Source organism: Homo sapiens, chromosome 10 (genome assembly GCF_000001405.40).
Source record: "Homo sapiens chromosome 10, GRCh38.p14 Primary Assembly".
In the NCBI taxonomy this organism is placed as follows: Eukaryota; Metazoa; Chordata; class Mammalia; order Primates; family Hominidae; genus Homo; species Homo sapiens.
In genome coordinates, this window is record NC_000010.11 from 14,838,062 (window position 1) to 14,855,383 (window position 17,322).

Genomic DNA, 17,322 nt, shown 5'->3' on the forward strand with positions numbered 1-17,322 from the left:
AATGACGCAACTGAACACAGAGTTTCCATTGGCTCTCAAGGAAGGGATAGGAAGGGGGCGGAGTGTAGGAGCCTTTTCCCGTCCCTCCCCGGTTGCGCGTGCGCACTGTGCAGTTTCCGCGGAGCGCAGAGACGCGCTGAAGCTACTCGCGGACTGCGCGTGAAGAAAGGCGGAACCTTCACGCTGATTGGCGGCGACGCGGGAGGCTGTAGCGGCCGACCGGACGCAGGGGGCTGGCGGGAACGTGAAGCTCCGCGGTGCCTGATGGGGCCGTTGGGCGGCCGGTAGCTGTTGCTGTTGGGGGACCCCCTCATTCCTGCCGCTGCCGTCCCTGCTGCCTCATGGCGGCCATCGGAGTTCACCTGGGCTGCACCTCAGCCTGTGTGGCCGTCTATAAGGTGAGGGGCTGCGGAGCTGGGCTAGGGCTTCATGACGGCCACCCGGTTTTCTGGCGCTGGGTCATCCACAGGCTTGAGAGCGGCGTGTCGCCGGCCTAGGGATGTCGTGGAGTGGCGTTGCCGCGAGGACACTCCGGAGCGAAGGGCCGGGCAGGCCCGGCCTCGCGCCTGGCGATTCCTCCGGAAAGTCGTCTACTCCGCGGCGGAGGCTCGCGGCGATGTAGACGCGCGGGGTCCCAGGGCGTCATGGCGGCGGGATGCCCGGAGGGGTCCCAGGGACGACGTAGCTGCAGGGTGCCCGGGGGGGTCCCGGAGACAGCGGGGCCGCTGGGTGTCCCGGGGGGTCCCGGGGACGGCGGGGCTGCGAGCATTTTGGGGGAGGTCACGGGGACGTCCTGGCCTCTGGATGCCGGAAGGGGTCTCGCTGACGTCAGGGCCTCAGGATTCCCGCGGGTGGGAGGTCCTGGGAAAGTTGTGGCCGCGAGGTACTTGGAGGCGGTGGTCTCTGGGACAGCAGGGCCGCAGAACGCGCTGAGCTGGGCCCGAACGTCTAGGTCCCGGAGGGGCGGGGAGGCTGCAGTCGAGCTGGGGCTGATGGTCCCGCAAAGCTGCCTGGCTGTGAAGCCAGTTGATGGTGCGTGGTCTACAGAGGTGGCCTTTCTGGAAGTGAGAGCCTGACAGGACTTGTGGCCTTTCTCTCATCAGTGGGGAGGCAGAAGAAACGATAATCATGAACTCCGTTGCCACTAGTCCCGCGTTTAAATGTCAAATGACTTGTTAGGAAAAGCCAAAGGGAATAATACTACTTCATTTGTAGAAATGGGAAGAAAGGGGCCCAGCGCGGTGGCTTACGCCTGTAATCCCAGCACTTTGGGAAGCCGAGGCAGGCGGATCACGTGAGGTTAGGAGTTCTAGACCAGCCTGGCTAACATGGTGAAACCCCGCCTCTACTAAAAATACTAAAAATTAGCCGGGAACGCCTGTAATCCCAGCTGCTCAGGAGGCTGAGGCATGAGAATGGCTTGAACCCGGGAGGCGGAAGTTGCAGTGAGCCGAGATCTGGCACTGCAGTCTGCACTCCAGCCTGGGCCACGGAGCAAGACTCCGTGTCCAAAAAAAAAAAAAAAAGAAATGGTAATGGTAAGAAGGAAGAGAGGTAGGAAAGGTAACGTAATAATAGCCTTCGTTTTGTGTGTAGAAAGGTTGTTATTACTTTTGATTCAATTGTTGACTTTGCAGAGCAGACTGAAAACATGAGGCAGTTCTTCATGGAATTATAGGCTTTCTATGAAAACGAGGAAATTAAATGGTAATTAAATTTGCAAGTTTAAAATATTGAGATAGCAGTTTTTCTTTCCACACAGATGGCAAAGTAACACTGGTGCACAAATGCACACGTCTGAATACGTCTAATGAGACTATGTATTTCGTGTTTTTTTCTCTAGGATGGCCGGGCTGGTGTGGTTGCAAATGATGCCGGTGACCGAGTTACTCCAGCTGTTGTTGCTTACTCAGAAAATGAAGAGGTACTAGTCCCCCCATTTTTGTACTTCTGAAATAATTTAAAATTACATACATTGTAATATATATATATATATATTATTTTTTTTTTCAGATTGTTGGATTGGCAGCAAAACAAAGTAGAATAAGAAATATTTCAAATACAGTAATGAAAGTAAAGCAGATCCTGGGCAGAAGGTATGGAATCAAATGATACTTTTAAATATGGTAATAGGAACATGTTCATAAATTCTAAGCATAATGTGAAAAGAAATTAGAAACAGCATAGTTTGTTTCTTCATTGCTTTTTATGACTGAGTCATTACAGAGAGTACCCCCAGTAGGCAGTGTCTTTTGATTCTTAGTGTTGGATCTTCTCTGATATGGGATTCACTCAGATGTTAGTTTCTTGCTGACAGGTCAATTTGGTAATTTGCGTCAGAGGTGGTAATTTGGATTGTTCACATTTTTAGATTTTTTTTAACTGAGAGGATTTCAAAGATTTTGTGGGAATTTGAAGACTTATTGACAATGTGGTTGAATTTTGCTGAATCTATTACAATTTTTCGTAATTTATGTAGACACTATTGATTTTCTTCCTCAGGATCTTTTGTGACACTTTCTGGGAACGAACTTTTCCACTTGACTTACAAATTTAATCATTAGAGTAACAGCTAAATTAACGTCTTATGTAAGAATCAGATTAATCATCTGTTGTAAGTTTAATTAGAAGATTAAAACAGGCTTGCTTCCCCAGACTTCTGTCTCCTCAAATTATAGATTGCTATAATAATTAGGGGTTTTCATTTTCACTACTGTAGTAATACTTGATAGAGTGTTTTTAAATTTTCAAAGTGCTTTCACATCTATTATTTTATTTAATTCTCTCAACATCCTTGTAAAATTGGCAACGCAAATACTATCATTCCCCATTTATAGATGAGAAAATCAAGGTACAAAGAAATTGTGGCATTATCCTAGGGGGTAAACTGGGTAAGACTGCAGATCAGGTCTCCTCACCCTCGGCCCCAGGTTCTTTTCTTTCAACTTTGTTTAGTGAGAATTTAAGTAAAAATGTCCTGGTGTTGATTTAGAATTGGATATTATAGATTAAATTTATGCAGGTATCTCTTACCTGTTTATCTTATTTTCTGTCTCTTACCTGTGTTCAATTAAATTGAACTTGATATTAATCTTTTTCCTCAGGATACTTATGCACTAAGCCAAAAACTATAGTTGTTTGGAGAGAATTCAATATTCAGTGACAATAAATACATCCCCATATCCTTTTACCTATTGATAAAACTTAGTACCGAGCATATTAAATATAAGTTGGTGTCAAATATTTTCAGATCATAAAGTCTAGAAAAAAGAATCGTAGATGGGTCTTCAAGCCCAAATCACTGAGCAGCCAACAATATGATTTTTTTAATTAAACTTTTTATTTAGAGAGAATTGCAGTTTCCCATGCTGCTGTGTAAGAAATAATACAGAGACATCAAACACATTGCTGGATTCACCACCTCTCCCCGTGGTTATATCTTGCAAAATTATAGTACAGTGTCACAACCAAGATGCTCACATCGATATAGTCCAGATACAGAACATTTCCATAGATCTCTCCCCTGGTAGCCAACAATATGTTACTGTTTGTTTTATGCTGCTGTTTGAGGGCACATGGTTAGAGTAATTATGTGGCTTTCTTCTGCCATATTGTGCAAAAAAAAAATTTGTATTAGCAGAGCAACTTAAACTCACTTTTCTGGCCCACACTGACAGTCAGATGGGTAACACAGAGCCACAGCGTGCTGTGATTAGTAAAGACTGAGCATCTTTCAGATTGCTATACCGTGGTCATGCTTGGACTCCTTTAGCGTTAGCTGCCTCATGGTCCAGGTGATTTTCCCTCCCAGCCCATCTACTCACCAGACAAGGGTGATTTTTACAGATCCATTGTTGTACCAACTCTCAGCCATGAAAGCATTTGGCCTTTTTGTTACCAAGCCATTAGGTTCTTGGTGCCGTGTCTACCCTGGGTGAACTCCCAAAGTTGGGCTATCTCAGTCTTGGCCTCATGCCTGTTTATGACCTACTCACAGGTAGCACCACTTAACTTGCTGCCAAAATTATCCTTACACCCTTCCTGTAACTCTCATTCCCCTGTGGCCTTCCAGCCAGAAATGCGGTCCTTGGACCTGGCTTCTCAGCAATTATCCCTGAGAGGGAAGATCCTGGAGATATCCTGAGAGCACACAGAGCTTCCCCACACCTTCAGACTTGCACCTTGCTGTCCAGAAGCTGCCTAGCCCTCCTTTCCAACCCACAATGGCCAGTGCCAATAGCAGTGCGGGCATCCGGTGGTCCAGACAGGAGACACGAACTCTTCTCTCCATACTAGGCGAGGCAGAGTATATTCAGCGCCTCCAGACTGTGCATCACAATGCAGATGTCTATCAGGCTGTGTCTAAGCGAATGCAGCAGGAGGGCTTCCGCCGCACCGAACGTCAGTGCCGCTCCAAGTTTAAAGTTCTGAAGGCATTATATTTAAAGGCCTATGTTGCCCATGCCACAAGTATGGGTGAGCCACCACACTGTCCATTTTATGATACGTTGGATCAGCTTCTCCGAAATCAGATAGTGACTGACCCAGACAACTTAATGGAGGATGCTGCTTGGGCCAAGCACTGTGATCAGAACTTAGTGGCCTCTGACGCCCCAGGGGAAGAGGGAACCGGCATTCTAAAATCAAAAAGGACTCAGGCAGCTGATCATCAGCCTATCTTGAAAACAGTTAAGGCATCAGATGAGGATTGTCAGCTAAGAATCAGTGACCGGATACGAGAAACCAGTGACCTTGAGGACTCCTGGGATGAATCCTCGGGTGCAGGTAACTCCCAAGCATGTGAAGGAGTTGGGTCCCAGAGTCTTGTGGCTCTAAACATTTAGCTGTGTCTGTTTGGATAGTGTCCTCTTCAGCATAGTTCCTGTTTCTGCCTCATTCTGCCCCACGCACCTTTTCAAAAACCTAATAGTAAGCTAAAGGGTTCCAGGTTTTCAAAAGCTATGCCCCTGGCAACATAAGGTATTAGAACCCTTTAAACCTAGAAGTGCTCTCTAGAACCAAACTAGTTCTGGCATTATTAATAACTGGTAGTCAGGAAATTGTAGGTCTAGAGTGGGTTGGATAGCTATGTACAAAGGGGTTCAGGAAGGCAAGGGAGAAGTTTTAGAGGTGAAATCAAACAGGTCACAATTGTCCAGATTAAGGAAATGGATTCTTCCCAGTCCCTGGTGGAAAGAGGCTTTCCAGGAACAACCATAGTTTTATAATTTGTCTCAGCTCTGCTGCTGGCTCCAAGCATTCCCTTAGCAGGAATGTTCTCTTTGCAACATTGTTGCTTTGTTTTTCAGGGTGCTCTCAAGGGACCCCCAGCTACAGCAGCTCCCACAGCCTTTTCAGAGGTGCAGTTGCTCCCTGTCAGAGCAGCCCCATGGCCAGACTGGGTGTGTCCGGGGAGCCCAGCCCCTGCACCAGCACCAACCGCAGCACTCCTGGGGTAGCCTCCACACCGCAGACTCCAGTCTCCTCTTCGAGAGCTGGTTTTGTTTCTGGTGGGGATAGGCCCTTGACCAGTGAGCCCCCTCCAAGGTGGGCAAGGCGAAGAAGGCGGTCAGTGGCCAGGACTATCGCAGCCGAGTTGGCAGAAAACAGGCGATTGGCACGAGAACTCTCAAAGCGGGAGGAAGAAAAACTGGACAGGCTGATTGCTATTGGTGAGGAGGCCAGTGCTCAGCAAGATACTGCCAATGAGCTCCGCAGGGATGCTGTCATCGCAGTCAGACGTTTGGCAACAGCAGTGGAAGAGGCAACTGGTGCTTTTCAGCTAGGCCTTGAAAAATTGCTTCAGAGGTTGATTTCGAATACCAAAAGCTAGGAACCAATTACAAAAGGCTCTGCTTCCTAAACTGGTAGAAGTCTAGTTCCCAAACCTGCCTTCTGAATCCCTGGCTCCTTTTCTGTGTCCTCAGAAAAAAACATGGATGAACCATTTATATCCAGATAGTATGAAAATAATTGCTAGTTCATTTTCCCAAGATTCTCCACCAAATGGAAGACCTTTCAGAAATGCCAGGGGTGACCTAATAGAAAACGATGGAGCCACGTTCTAGACAGCTGGTTCATCCTAGCTTTGTCACAGATGTGAAGCAGTTTACCTCCCTCCAGTGGTTTCCTCATCCGTAAAATGGGGATCAATAATAACTCCTGCCCTGCCTACCTCACAGGGTTGTTGTGAGGATCACGTAGTTCATAGATGTGAAAGGGTTTAAAAGTTTAAAAGCACTGTACACATTTAAGTTATTAATTCATATGGCCTTGGCTGAGGTAAGGCAGATTGGTTTACAAGATACAGAAGTATGGATATATACTGTGACTTCATTGCTTGAATCTTTCCTTTGCTGGTCTAACTTGACTGCTTCATGGAGTTTGAAATCTTAATTTTTAAAATCCCTGTGTGGCTCATTAGACGACTATAAGCACAACCTGTATTTGTACCTTAATCTCTTACATTTCCACTGCTGTGTATCTGACATATCTACTAGTAAGCACTGTTTTGTCAAACCGTCTTTCTCTCCTTCATTTTACTGGTTCTTAGTCTCCTATCAATATAAGGAAATAAGAAGTGCCAGGGAGCCGCCATTGTGTGTTACGGTTTATATCGATAATCTTCAATATAAAATACTGGCCATTTTATAAAATATTAAATATATGTAAATTCTTTGCATTTCATATTATTTGGGTCCCTTTATATGCCTAAATTACATCTTTAAGTTTCGGTTGCCATTGGAACATTGTGGAAACAATTCAGATTATATCAGTTTCCCATCCGCTTTTTAGCTGATTTCATTCTTTTCTGTTATTTTTTTGTCTAGTATGTTATACAGGGCAAGCCCTAGAAACGTTTCCTTTTGAGGAGCTTTCCAAGATTCCTTTTCCTCAGATGTTGTAGACAGAAGTTTATGTAGTTAATGGCATCTGGTGGAAGAGAACAGCTTTGTTTCCTCTTTAACTTTGGGAACACTAGAGGATGGTGTGGATAAAGATTGCCTGCAATAGATGACTCCTTTTAAGCACTAGCCGTGAACAGATGAGCCTCCTCCACACCCCAGACACACACTGGGGAGAGATGAAGGTGATAAGCCACACTTCCGATTTACTCTAGAAGGGAAGACATTACTCTCTGTCATTAAACTAACTTAAAGCTTTTAGTGATTTACTTAGTACTTTTAGGAATACAAATAGGAATCTTTAGGATTTAAAAAGTTTTCCAATAATCTAGAAGTTGGAAAAATAACAAAGAGTGGGCATGTTGGGGGAGGTTTTATTTTCTATCTTGCAGGCTCGAGTGCTTAGCTAAATGCTGGAAATGGACATAGGTGGAGAAATGGTCAGAGCAGCAGTGGGAGCGTACCCAGAACCATGAGTAGACGGCAAGCGAGCTGCTCTGCCAAGCCAGGGATGGAGGTGTGAGGCGGCTGGTGTGGTAGAATATGTTGGAATCTAGTTAGAATTCCTGGATTGGAATCCTGTCACAGTTTGTTTCATCAGACAAATCACTTGCCCTTTTCTATTATTATTATTTTTTTTTTTTTGAGAAAAAGTCTCACTGTTTTGCCCAGGCTGGGGTGCAGTGGTGCAATCTTGGCTCACTGCAACCTCAGCCTCCCGAGTAGCCGGGATTACAGGTGCATGCCAACATGCCCAACTCATTTTTGTATTTTTAGTAGAGACGGGGTTTCACCATGTTGGCCAGGCTAGTCTTGAACTCCTGACCTCAGGTGATCCACCTGCCTCGGCCTCCCAAAGTGCTGAGATTACAGGCGTGAGCCACCGTGCCCAGCCAATTCATGCCTCAATTTCTTTATCTCCGGATTGAGGGATTTGTATTAGATTTTTTTTTTCCTAGTACCTTCCAGCTCTAAAAAAATTTGAAATAGCATAATAAAAGACAAAATGAAAACGAAATTTTAATTGTAATATTTTCTGTCACAGCAGCATATGTATATTTGAAATACTGGTAACAATTTTAAGGTAGCATTCTGTGGTATTAATATTTATTAATATGCTCATGAACTTCTAAGTGCCACACCAGACATATAGACTCTTTACTTTAAAAGAGCATATATTTAAGGCATTGAAATGGATACAGCTATATTCATTCTCAATTGTCTTAGGCTATTATATGGAAAGATATGTGTCAATTATAGGTAGGTAGGTAGGTAGGTAGATTTTCTGGAAACACAGAAGTACTTGACGGAGAGTTAGGCCTGTATTCTATAAATCTATTAATGGTAGCAAAGTGCATAAGACAGGGATTTCTTTGAGATGAAAGGAGTGCTGAAGAAGAGCATTGGAATTAATATTTGGATGTGGTATTGTGAAATTCAATGGGTAAAGTAACCCTAATGTGGGAATAAAAGTCAAGGGAAAGGTCTTGAATAAGTACACAGAAAAATAGGCTAAAAATATTAAGGGGAGGGAAATTGGAATACAGGGAGACAGTGTGCAAGAAAGCAAGCCAGGAATCTGCCTATGTGGTAGACCCAACCATTACTACTTGAACCCCCTTAGAAAAGCTTTTCCAGCATTCCATAACTCAGGTTCCTCATTTATAAAGTGGGAAACTCATAATTGTCCTACCTACCTCACAGGGGTGTTGTGAGGATCAAAGGAACAGATGAATGTATGAGCACTTTCAGACATGTAAGGCACTGTCATGTAACAAGTAGGGGAAAGACTCTGGAGCACATTAGTGCTGGTGTGTGCCAAGCCCGTGGGCTGTTGACCGTAAGGGATATTCAAGTAGGAGGAGGAAGAGAAGATGGCATTGCTAATAAAGGTTGTGATACACAACCATAGGATTAACTGCCTCCTCAAGTCCATCATGTAAATAAGGTGCTATGTATACCAACTTCTCACCACCTTTGTTTTTCTGTTCGGTAATCCTGGTGTGGACAAATAAAGTTTTCACTTGTATGTAGTTGTGGGTCAGTCCACTACTTTGTGATGATGTCTGTGGTCCTTTGTTGCCTCCATTCTCTGCTTTGCTTTCTCCTCTGCTAAGGGTCTTGCATGTCTGCAGCCCTCGGAGCTATATGTGCTTTCTGTCTTCAGAGGAGAGCGGCCCTCTTTATAAAGCAGTTGAGAAATAATTTTCCATTTCTTAAGAGTTCTGTAAATTCTGTAAAATATCCTTCCTGGCAAATTCTCTTGTCTGGGTGGTAGACAACCTACGCACAACAGTATAAATTGTTCTGGTTGACTTAAATTCTAAAGAAAACAGAACTAGTAAGTGTCATGCTGAAATTCTAATATTGGTGCAAAACCCGCTATGAGCACACTTTATCTATTTTTCCTATTCTTAAAGTGTTTGGGATATAGTTAATATTAAATACTGAGTTTAGGAAAAGGAAGAAGCAAAGAGTTTAATGGAAAGAATACTAAACTTTGTATTGAAGTTCTGAATGCCAGCCAGTTATGCCATTGATTAGCTGTGTGACTTTGGGCAAGCTACTTACCTCTTGTCCTATTGATATTTTAGGTGACAGAGAAGGAAGTATGAGGAACCTGCAAGTATTCCAGAGTTCTAAGCCAAATTAGTCCATTTTAAACCCCGTTTGTCTGCCTCTTAACAAGTTAAGGTCTCCAGATGCTCTAACCCTTCAGCAATTAGCCACTATTAATTTTCAACTTCTCTTATTAAACAAATAGAATAGTCACAGCTCCTTGGAAGAAGGGTTTAATGAAAGGATACTAGTCTATTTTATCTTAATTTCTAGATGACATTAAGCCAAGAATCAGAGATTTCTATCCCGCTCAAGGGACAGAAGAACTGTGATCATTTACAAGATGAGTGGGAGGCAGCCTGCTAAAGTATGAATAATAGTAGCGTGATAGAGAAGACCTAGGCTCACGTACTGACTCTGCCCCTTGTTAGCTTATAAGTTATTGTCCCTCTCTGAAGCTCTTTATCTCTAAAATAATACCTGCCAAACACACCCCACTTAGGTGTTGTGAGGATAACGTGAGATAATGTACGTGAAAACATTTTGTAGTCTGCATAAGTTGCTTATATCTGTATATATATGCATATGCATAGTACTCTGCACCTTTCTATAAACAACATTCATAGTTTTGCTCAACCTTTTGGTTTCTGGAGTTGGTGTGTGTTCAGAAACCAAGCAACGAAGATGGTCTTAGCTAGTTTGGTTTGCCTTTAGTTTGCAACTTTCTCATCTCAGTGGTTGGGTCTTCAGAATCATAGGTGTGAAACTATGATACAAAATCATGGATATTATGAAAAGTCACCTCAAAATATATAGCACCTATTAATAGCACAGCCAGAACAAGAAAGCTATTTATTTTCAAATGCAAAGATCAGTACTTTAGTAGAATTACTATAACCCTTATAAATACTCCATTTCTATCTTCTGTAATATTTGAAGACTTTTAGTATTAAGCAGCTTAATAACTTTGTTAATATTTTAGTATTTGTTCAGTGATATTGTGAAATACAGTCTTCTCTAAACTTTATATATCTACAATACTGATTTTAATACTTAGCTATCTTTATCTTTCTTTATGGACAGCTCCAGTGATCCACAAGCTCAGAAATACATCGCGGAAAGTAAATGTTTAGTGAGTATGGTTCTGTTATTGCTTCCCTGTTACATAGAGTAATTACCAAGGTGATAACATGGAATGTTGATTTGAAACTTTGCATTTTTATTAAAAATTATTTATTTAGCATAATTGTAATTTATTTTATAGGTCATTGAAAAAAATGGGAAATTACGATATGAAATAGATACTGGAGAAGAAACAAAATTTGTTAACCCAGAAGATGTTGCCAGACTGATATTTAGTAAAATGAAAGGTATTTAGCAAAAGATATATAATAGTTACCTTTAATGATCTTTTGAAAGTTGACCTTAAAAAAAAAGTTAGAGGTATTTTTAGATCTTGGGAGAAGCAGAGTGATTGCACAGATAAGTAAGGACATATAAACTGTCGACCTGGTTGGGGCACTAACTGGGTATGTGCCCGTGGTTAAATGACTTGCCTTACCTGACTGTGATTTCCCTATAAGTCATATAAATGAATTAGGCCAAATAAGAGTTTTCCAAACATAGTTAGTGGCCGAGTAAGCTTGGTGAATAGTGGCACTTCAAGATCGACAGTATACTGTGAACAATAATTTAGGCAGACTAAGTAGGTCTGATTTTATCAGCAGTTCAGACGGAGGCTCTGAGCTGAGTGGTATTCTGTCGAACAATTTGGGAAATTCTGGAATAGATTGTTTATAAGGCTTCCTTCAGCCCTGTAATGATGTTAAGAACTTGGGGGTTGGAAGGCAGGCTTTAAATGTAGAGAACTAACATTATGACGTTGTGTCTTCACATGGATGCGTTAGGAGCTTATTCTCCATGGAGTCAGTCTAATTCAGAAGATGGTTGATACTGAAGCCTAAGAGCCAGGCTGTTTGGAAAGCTAATTCTGTGTCCAAATATATCACCAAAACCACAAGAAGTGCTGCATGATTTCAGAGCGCAGAGAAGAAAATTGACACGGGGGCGGGGTGGGCAAGCAAGTGTATTGGGAAATATGTTAAGTGAGATCTTTGTCATAAATTAATAAACCTCAGAAAGTATCACTTGTCATTTTCTTCTGTCATCAGAATTTTATATTTTTTAATATGCAGAAACGGCACATTCTGTATTGGGCTCAGATGCAAATGATGTAGTTATTACTGTCCCGTTTGATTTTGGAGAAAAGCAAAAAAATGCTCTTGGGTAAGTATATGGGGTTTATCTTACTGGCTTAATTAAAGGAAGTACAAAGTCACTATATAGTAAAAGGTAACATTGTATTTTAAAGTACCTTAGGCGATAAAATTGTATTTGTAAATAATTTAGTAAGGTAATGATCATTTTTATATGTATATATTTGATGAAATGCCAAGAGGCCAGGTGTGGTGGTTCACGCCTGTAATCCCAACACTTTGGGACACTGACGGGGGGGCGGCGGGTGGACCACCTGAGGTCAGGAGTTCGAGACCTGCCTAGCCAATATGGCCAAACCCTGTCTCTATTAAAATACAAAAATTAGCTGGACATGGTGTTGGTGCCTATAATCTCAGCTATTCGGGAGGCTGAGGCATAAGAATCGCCTGAACCCAGGAAGTGGAGGTTGCAGTGAGCCAAAGTCGCGCCACTCCACTCCAGATTGTGTGACAGCGAGACTTCGTCTCAAAAAAAAAAAAAAGCCAAGAGAACATAAAATTAAATATGGTGTACCTTCAGCTGTTTCGATCGGAAACATTTTAAATTACCAGGTTAAATTGACATTTATGAATCTCTTTGCCTTAATTTTGTGTAATTAAGGTTTATGTAGGAATTACATGTGCAGTTTTAGAAAATATTTGTGCTTATTTCTTCACCTTAGATCTTAACATCTAAACAGAAAAGTTATAGTTTTTACAGGTCATTATGCAAATGTATTGGTGTGCTTTTATGCCTTTGCTCTGCAGGATAGAGTTTCACACAAGGTTCTGGGCATTGAAGTTGCCTCTGAGGCAGAGAATTGCCTTATGTACTTTTAAAAACTGAACACTAGATTAAAGAAATTGGAAATTTTCAAGTGTTCTATAAATTTGTCTTTCTGCAGTTTTTGCATAGGCATTTTTTTCATTCAATAAATGTGTATTGATTACTGTTTAAGCCACACTGTATTGAAGGTTGAATAAATAGAGATAAATAAGACATGGTTTCTGATGTCACAGAATTAACAAGATAATTACGTTAAAATGTGGCAAGTACTTTGAATGGGGAAGTTCTGGATAGCATGAAGACAGGACACCTGTCCTAGACTCTCAGAGCCCCAAAAGACTCTCATCTTTTGAACTTTTTTTTTTAAACATGGATATTTTTGAGAGCTTTATTTCTCTTATTCAGTACGTGTGCTTTTTGCTTTCTTTGTGAAGAATATGGGCTCTGAACATTACAATTTTAAACAGAAAGTGATCTCTTATAGTCATTCATTTCTTGTTTTCTATATTCTTGCTTCTAAAGATCATTATACTTCATGTTCTACTTATGAAATTTTAGTAGCTTTTGTATAAAATCTTTAGCAGATCATTTCTAAAAATGTAGAATTGAACATGTGATAAATTAAATTCATTGAAAGCAAATTGTTCACAGAGAAGCAGCTAGAGCTGCTGGATTTAATGTTTTGCGATTAATTCACGAACCGTCTGCAGCTCTTCTTGCTTATGGAATTGGACAAGACTCCCCTACTGGAAAAAGGTAAAGATCATATTTGCAGTTTTAGGTTTTTTGAGTGCAGAAAACATTTTAGATTATAGAGATTATATCAGTAAAGATTATTATGTAATGCAGTGGTTCCAAACCTTTCTGGATGGAAAAACAGACTCTTGCCTAGAGTTTTTCAAATAGTTGAGAAAGATGTCCTAGGAAAGCACAGAAAGAATGTAATGGGAGAGAAGGTTGAGCTTTTATGCCCTTGTCTTGTCCCTTTTTTGAGGGAAGATTTGAAAGTTCGAGGCCTGGCCAGTTTCCAACTCAAGCTACGACACTGCTGATTTTTCTACCAATTCCAGTTATTAGACATGTTTGCAGATAATAGGTACTGTTATATACATTTGACAGGGCAGGAGATGGATTTAGCATGAGGTTTTGAGACTTCTTTTAATGGTGAAATACTAGAACATACTTATCCCTAATATAGCTGTCAATATGTCTTAATAGAATGGATAGTCGTTCAACTTTAGAGAAGTTAATTCAGATGCAGTGTTAATTTTACATAATTGTTTCACCTCATTATTCGTATCTCCTAGTTAAGCAAAGAAATATGTGTACATCATGAGGAAATTATTTTTAGATAAATCTGAGAATATCAAATTATGAGTTTTAATACATGGGGAATCGGGAATTAGCTCCTAATTTTGCATATGTAATATATCTACAGAACATGCAATTGCATAGTAACTTGCATAAGATTAACACATAGAATTTCTATGTTCAGTTCTCTTAAAATTCACTATAATCACAGATCTCTTGATTTACTTTGAAAAGTTCGTGTTTTGAACTCCTTACTCAGAAGAATACAGTTGTATCCACATGACTGAGGAAAAAAGAACTTTGATTTGGTTGCAGAACATCTCAGATCTAGGCTTGATTTGTCAATAAGTGACTATAGACAACTTAGTTATTCACCTGAGATTTTCTATTTCCTCATTTGTAAATTAAAGGGATTAAACTAAGTGACTTCTAATATCCAACTTAGTTTTAAAATGTTATTCCCTGATAACTTACTTTATCTTCTCTTGAAGCAATATTTTGGTGTTTAAGCTTGGAGGAACATCCTTATCTCTCAGCGTCATGGAAGTTAACAGTGGAATATATCGGGTTCTTTCAACAAACACTGATGATAACATCGGTGGTGCACATTTCACAGAAACCTTAGCACAGTATCTAGCTTCTGAGTTCCAAAGGTGAGTGTTAATGGCCTGAATAATACCTTCTGATTGAGGTTTTCCTTCACATATTTTAATTTTTTTTCCTAATTTATTTTAAGTTATCCTGCTGCAAAGGAGGATGTGGTTTTTTCATTGCTTGGAAACTGGATATTTTCATATCTAGAGTTATGTCCTGTCCAGGCAATTCAAAGAAGCAGAGGCCAGGCTGCCTAGTGCAGTGTGCTTGGATTTTTCACTTAGTGTAAAGAGACCGTCAGATACTGAACTGCATGAACGTAGATTTTAATTCTTCATGTAGTGCTCTTCTGTCTGGTTAAAGGAGTGTATAGGCACTGAGGCTTCATTGCCTTCTGAACAGTTTTTAAAAGTTTGGCTCTGGTGAAGATTGCATTATGTTATCTTCATATTCCAGTGAGTTATTGTCTTATGGAATATTTATCTTAATTACTCATCTGCTGCTAGGAATATTTCAGTCTTGTTACTGGATATAATTACTCTAAAATTCTAACCCTTTTGGATGTTACAAAAGTCAGATATGTAAAGGTTATACTTTGGGTACTGCTGCTCTAAAAAAAAAAAAAAGTGTAATTGAAATGGTATTTTAGCCAGTTTGACTAACCTAATTGGTTGAAGAAGTCTTGAAAAAGTCATAATGTCTCACTTGTTTGATAAAGACCTATACTGCTTTTTGTTACAAAGATGTTGTTTAAATGAAGTCATTGATCACTACTTAGTAAGTAGTTTTAAACATGAACTCATATTGGAGATAGTGGAATGTAATTTTACATATTTTGTTGTATGTGTCAAATTTTTTTGAAGAAACACTTGTAGGTTGTTTTTTCTTTTTAATGCTTGACAAATAATTTTATGCCATTAAACAGTGATTGTGCTGTGATTATAAAGGGTAAAATAGGAGACTTTGACGCTCTTACATAAATCTCCTTATCTCCTTTAACCTCTGTGTCTCACCTGGAAAAGGGTGATATCTACTCTACTTTCTTCAGAGTACAGTCTATTATTACAATTATATAATGCAGCAGTTCATGGTTACATAATGTAGCAATTCAGAGTATTAAGGAAATTGGTAATTCATTTTTCTTGAGGTGACCCCTTTAATTGCACAGAGTGTTTTAGGAAAGTTTAGAGGGATTAGAAGAGAAATACTAAAATCCGGAATAAAATATTGTTTCACTAATTTATTTTATTTATTTATTTATTTTGAGACAGAGTTTTGCTCTTGTCGCCCAGGTTGGAGTGCAGTGGTGCAATCTCGGCTCACTGCAATCTCCACCTCCCAGGTTCAAGCGATTCTTCTGCCTCAGCCTCCCAAGTAGCTGGGATTACAGGCATGCACCACCACACCCAGCTAATTTTGTATTTTTAGTAGAGATGGGGTTTCACCATGTTGGCCCTGGTTGATCTTGAACTCCTGACCTCAGGTGATCTACCCATCTCAGCCTCCCAAAGTTGGGATTACACGCGTGAGCCACCGCACCCGGCCTGATTCACTAATTTATTATTGTTTTAATAAGGATTATCCAGATCTTAGTTACAATATTGTAAATGGCCCAGTAATTTTAAACCCCAAAGGCTATGTTTTTAATTTAGATCCTTCAAACATGATGTGAGAGGAAATGCGCGAGCCATGATGAAATTAACGAACAGTGCTGAAGTAGCGAAACATTCTTTGTCAACCTTGGGAAGTGCCAACTGTTTTCTTGACTCATTATATGAAGGTCAAGATTTTGATTGCAATGTGTCCAGGTAAAACTGAAGTTCAAAAAACTTTTTTAAAAAATTCCAAGAACATGTTTGTTTAGGTATAATTTTCTTACTTTGGGTTTTTTGTTTGTTTGTTTGAGATTTATCAACCATCTATAATGTCTTCACTTTATTGGGGTCCAGTTTTTGTCAGACTAAATAGCTGTTACCAGAGTAATTACATAAGTTGTGATTGCTTGCCCTGTTATTTTATGGCTACAATTAGGAGTGTGCAAAGGCATCCTAGAACCTTCAACCTAGATCCTACAAGTGATAAAGTACAAAGGGAGGACGTGCTGTAGTCTTTGTGTTGCATATTTGCTAATAATAATGATACGGCCTATTCAAACCTCTCAACAACATAATAGGTGACTTTGAAGCATAGTGAAAATTTCCAAGACTGCAGTATATATTTTTTTAGGATTCTAGTGACTGTATTTGGTTAAATTCTCTTTTCATCTGTTTAGTTTAGCTTCTTCACTTTCCCCGGGCCTTCATGAAGACTCTAGATCTGCACTGCCCAATAAAAGAGCCACTAGCCACCTGTGGCTGCTTAAATTTAACTTAATTAGGATAACATTAAAAATGCAGTTCCTCAGTAGCACTAGCTGCAGTTCAAATGTTCAGTAGTCATGTGGCTAGTGACTGGTAGAAAGTCCTGTTGGACAGCTATGCTCCAGATCTTTGAAGAAAGAGTTCAGGCTACAACTCAAAAGATAGAAAAGGCATTGCATTGAATTAGAATCTCTTTTTGGACAGAGTATGTGTATTTTTCTAGTTCCAGAATTCCTTAGGGTTAAGTTTGTCCAAGTCCTCGGTATATATTTGCTTTATTAATCAGTAATTAAGAAGGAAATGAAATTTATAATTTTTCATTAGGGAAATTTTGCCTTTGTCACAAAGATTTCAACCATAAAAGTATGCTTTAATATCTATAAGGTTTATAGATATTAATAGATAACATTATTTTTTAAGCCACTCATCTGCATTTAAGAAGTTCTGTATGAAGATTAGGGAGTACATTTTTCATGACCATAAATTTTTCTTAAAACTTTGTTATCTGCCAGCATTCAATTTCTCAGGGAGTACGGAGGGGCTAAACTTAT

The 17,322-nt window shown here is 40.2% G+C and overlaps 2 protein-coding genes across 3 annotated transcripts in view, besides 2 other annotated features; both read left to right on the forward strand.

Annotated features, from left to right (window-relative positions):
- Positions 29 to 138: a silencer, noted in NCBI's record as "silent region_2163". NCBI's record gives its function as "represses an Ori minimal core promoter by ATAC-STARR-seq in GM12878 lymphoblastoid cells {active_cell/tissue: GM12878}" and the evidence as "EXISTENCE:reporter gene assay evidence [ECO:0000049][PMID:35858748]".
- On the forward strand, positions 245 to 8,938 carry MSANTD7 (Myb/SANT DNA binding domain containing 7). Of its 2 annotated transcripts, NM_001378785.1 has the most exons (5): positions 245 to 398; positions 1,844 to 1,924; positions 2,014 to 2,096; positions 4,073 to 4,785; positions 5,310 to 8,938. In NM_001378785.1, the coding sequence occupies exons 4-5, from the start codon at positions 4,224 to 4,226 to the stop codon at positions 5,831 to 5,833; spliced, it is 1,086 nt and encodes a 361-aa protein (NP_001365714.1). In that variant the 5' UTR covers positions 245 to 398; positions 1,844 to 1,924; positions 2,014 to 2,096; positions 4,073 to 4,223; the 3' UTR covers positions 5,834 to 8,938. The 2 variants fall into 2 exon arrangements, with proteins under 2 accessions (NP_001365714.1, NP_001365719.1); NM_001378790.1 differs by lacking the exon at positions 4,073 to 4,785.
- Positions 245 to 17,322, forward strand: part of HSPA14 (heat shock protein family A (Hsp70) member 14) — a 33,436-nt gene continuing 16,358 nt past the window's right edge. The window contains exons 1-9 of the mRNA NM_016299.4: positions 245 to 398; positions 1,844 to 1,924; positions 2,014 to 2,096; positions 10,548 to 10,596; positions 10,729 to 10,834; positions 11,660 to 11,750; positions 13,158 to 13,262; positions 14,309 to 14,470; positions 16,064 to 16,219. Of these exons, the coding sequence (NP_057383.2) occupies positions 342 to 398; positions 1,844 to 1,924; positions 2,014 to 2,096; positions 10,548 to 10,596; positions 10,729 to 10,834; positions 11,660 to 11,750; positions 13,158 to 13,262; positions 14,309 to 14,470; positions 16,064 to 16,219 (890 nt within the window). The 5' untranslated portion in view covers positions 245 to 341. The remainder of the gene's footprint in view (positions 399 to 1,843; positions 1,925 to 2,013; positions 2,097 to 10,547; positions 10,597 to 10,728; positions 10,835 to 11,659; positions 11,751 to 13,157; positions 13,263 to 14,308; positions 14,471 to 16,063; positions 16,220 to 17,322) is intronic.
- Positions 289 to 528: an enhancer, noted in NCBI's record as "active region_3085". NCBI's record gives its function as "activates an Ori minimal core promoter by ATAC-STARR-seq in GM12878 lymphoblastoid cells {active_cell/tissue: GM12878}" and the evidence as "EXISTENCE:reporter gene assay evidence [ECO:0000049][PMID:35858748]".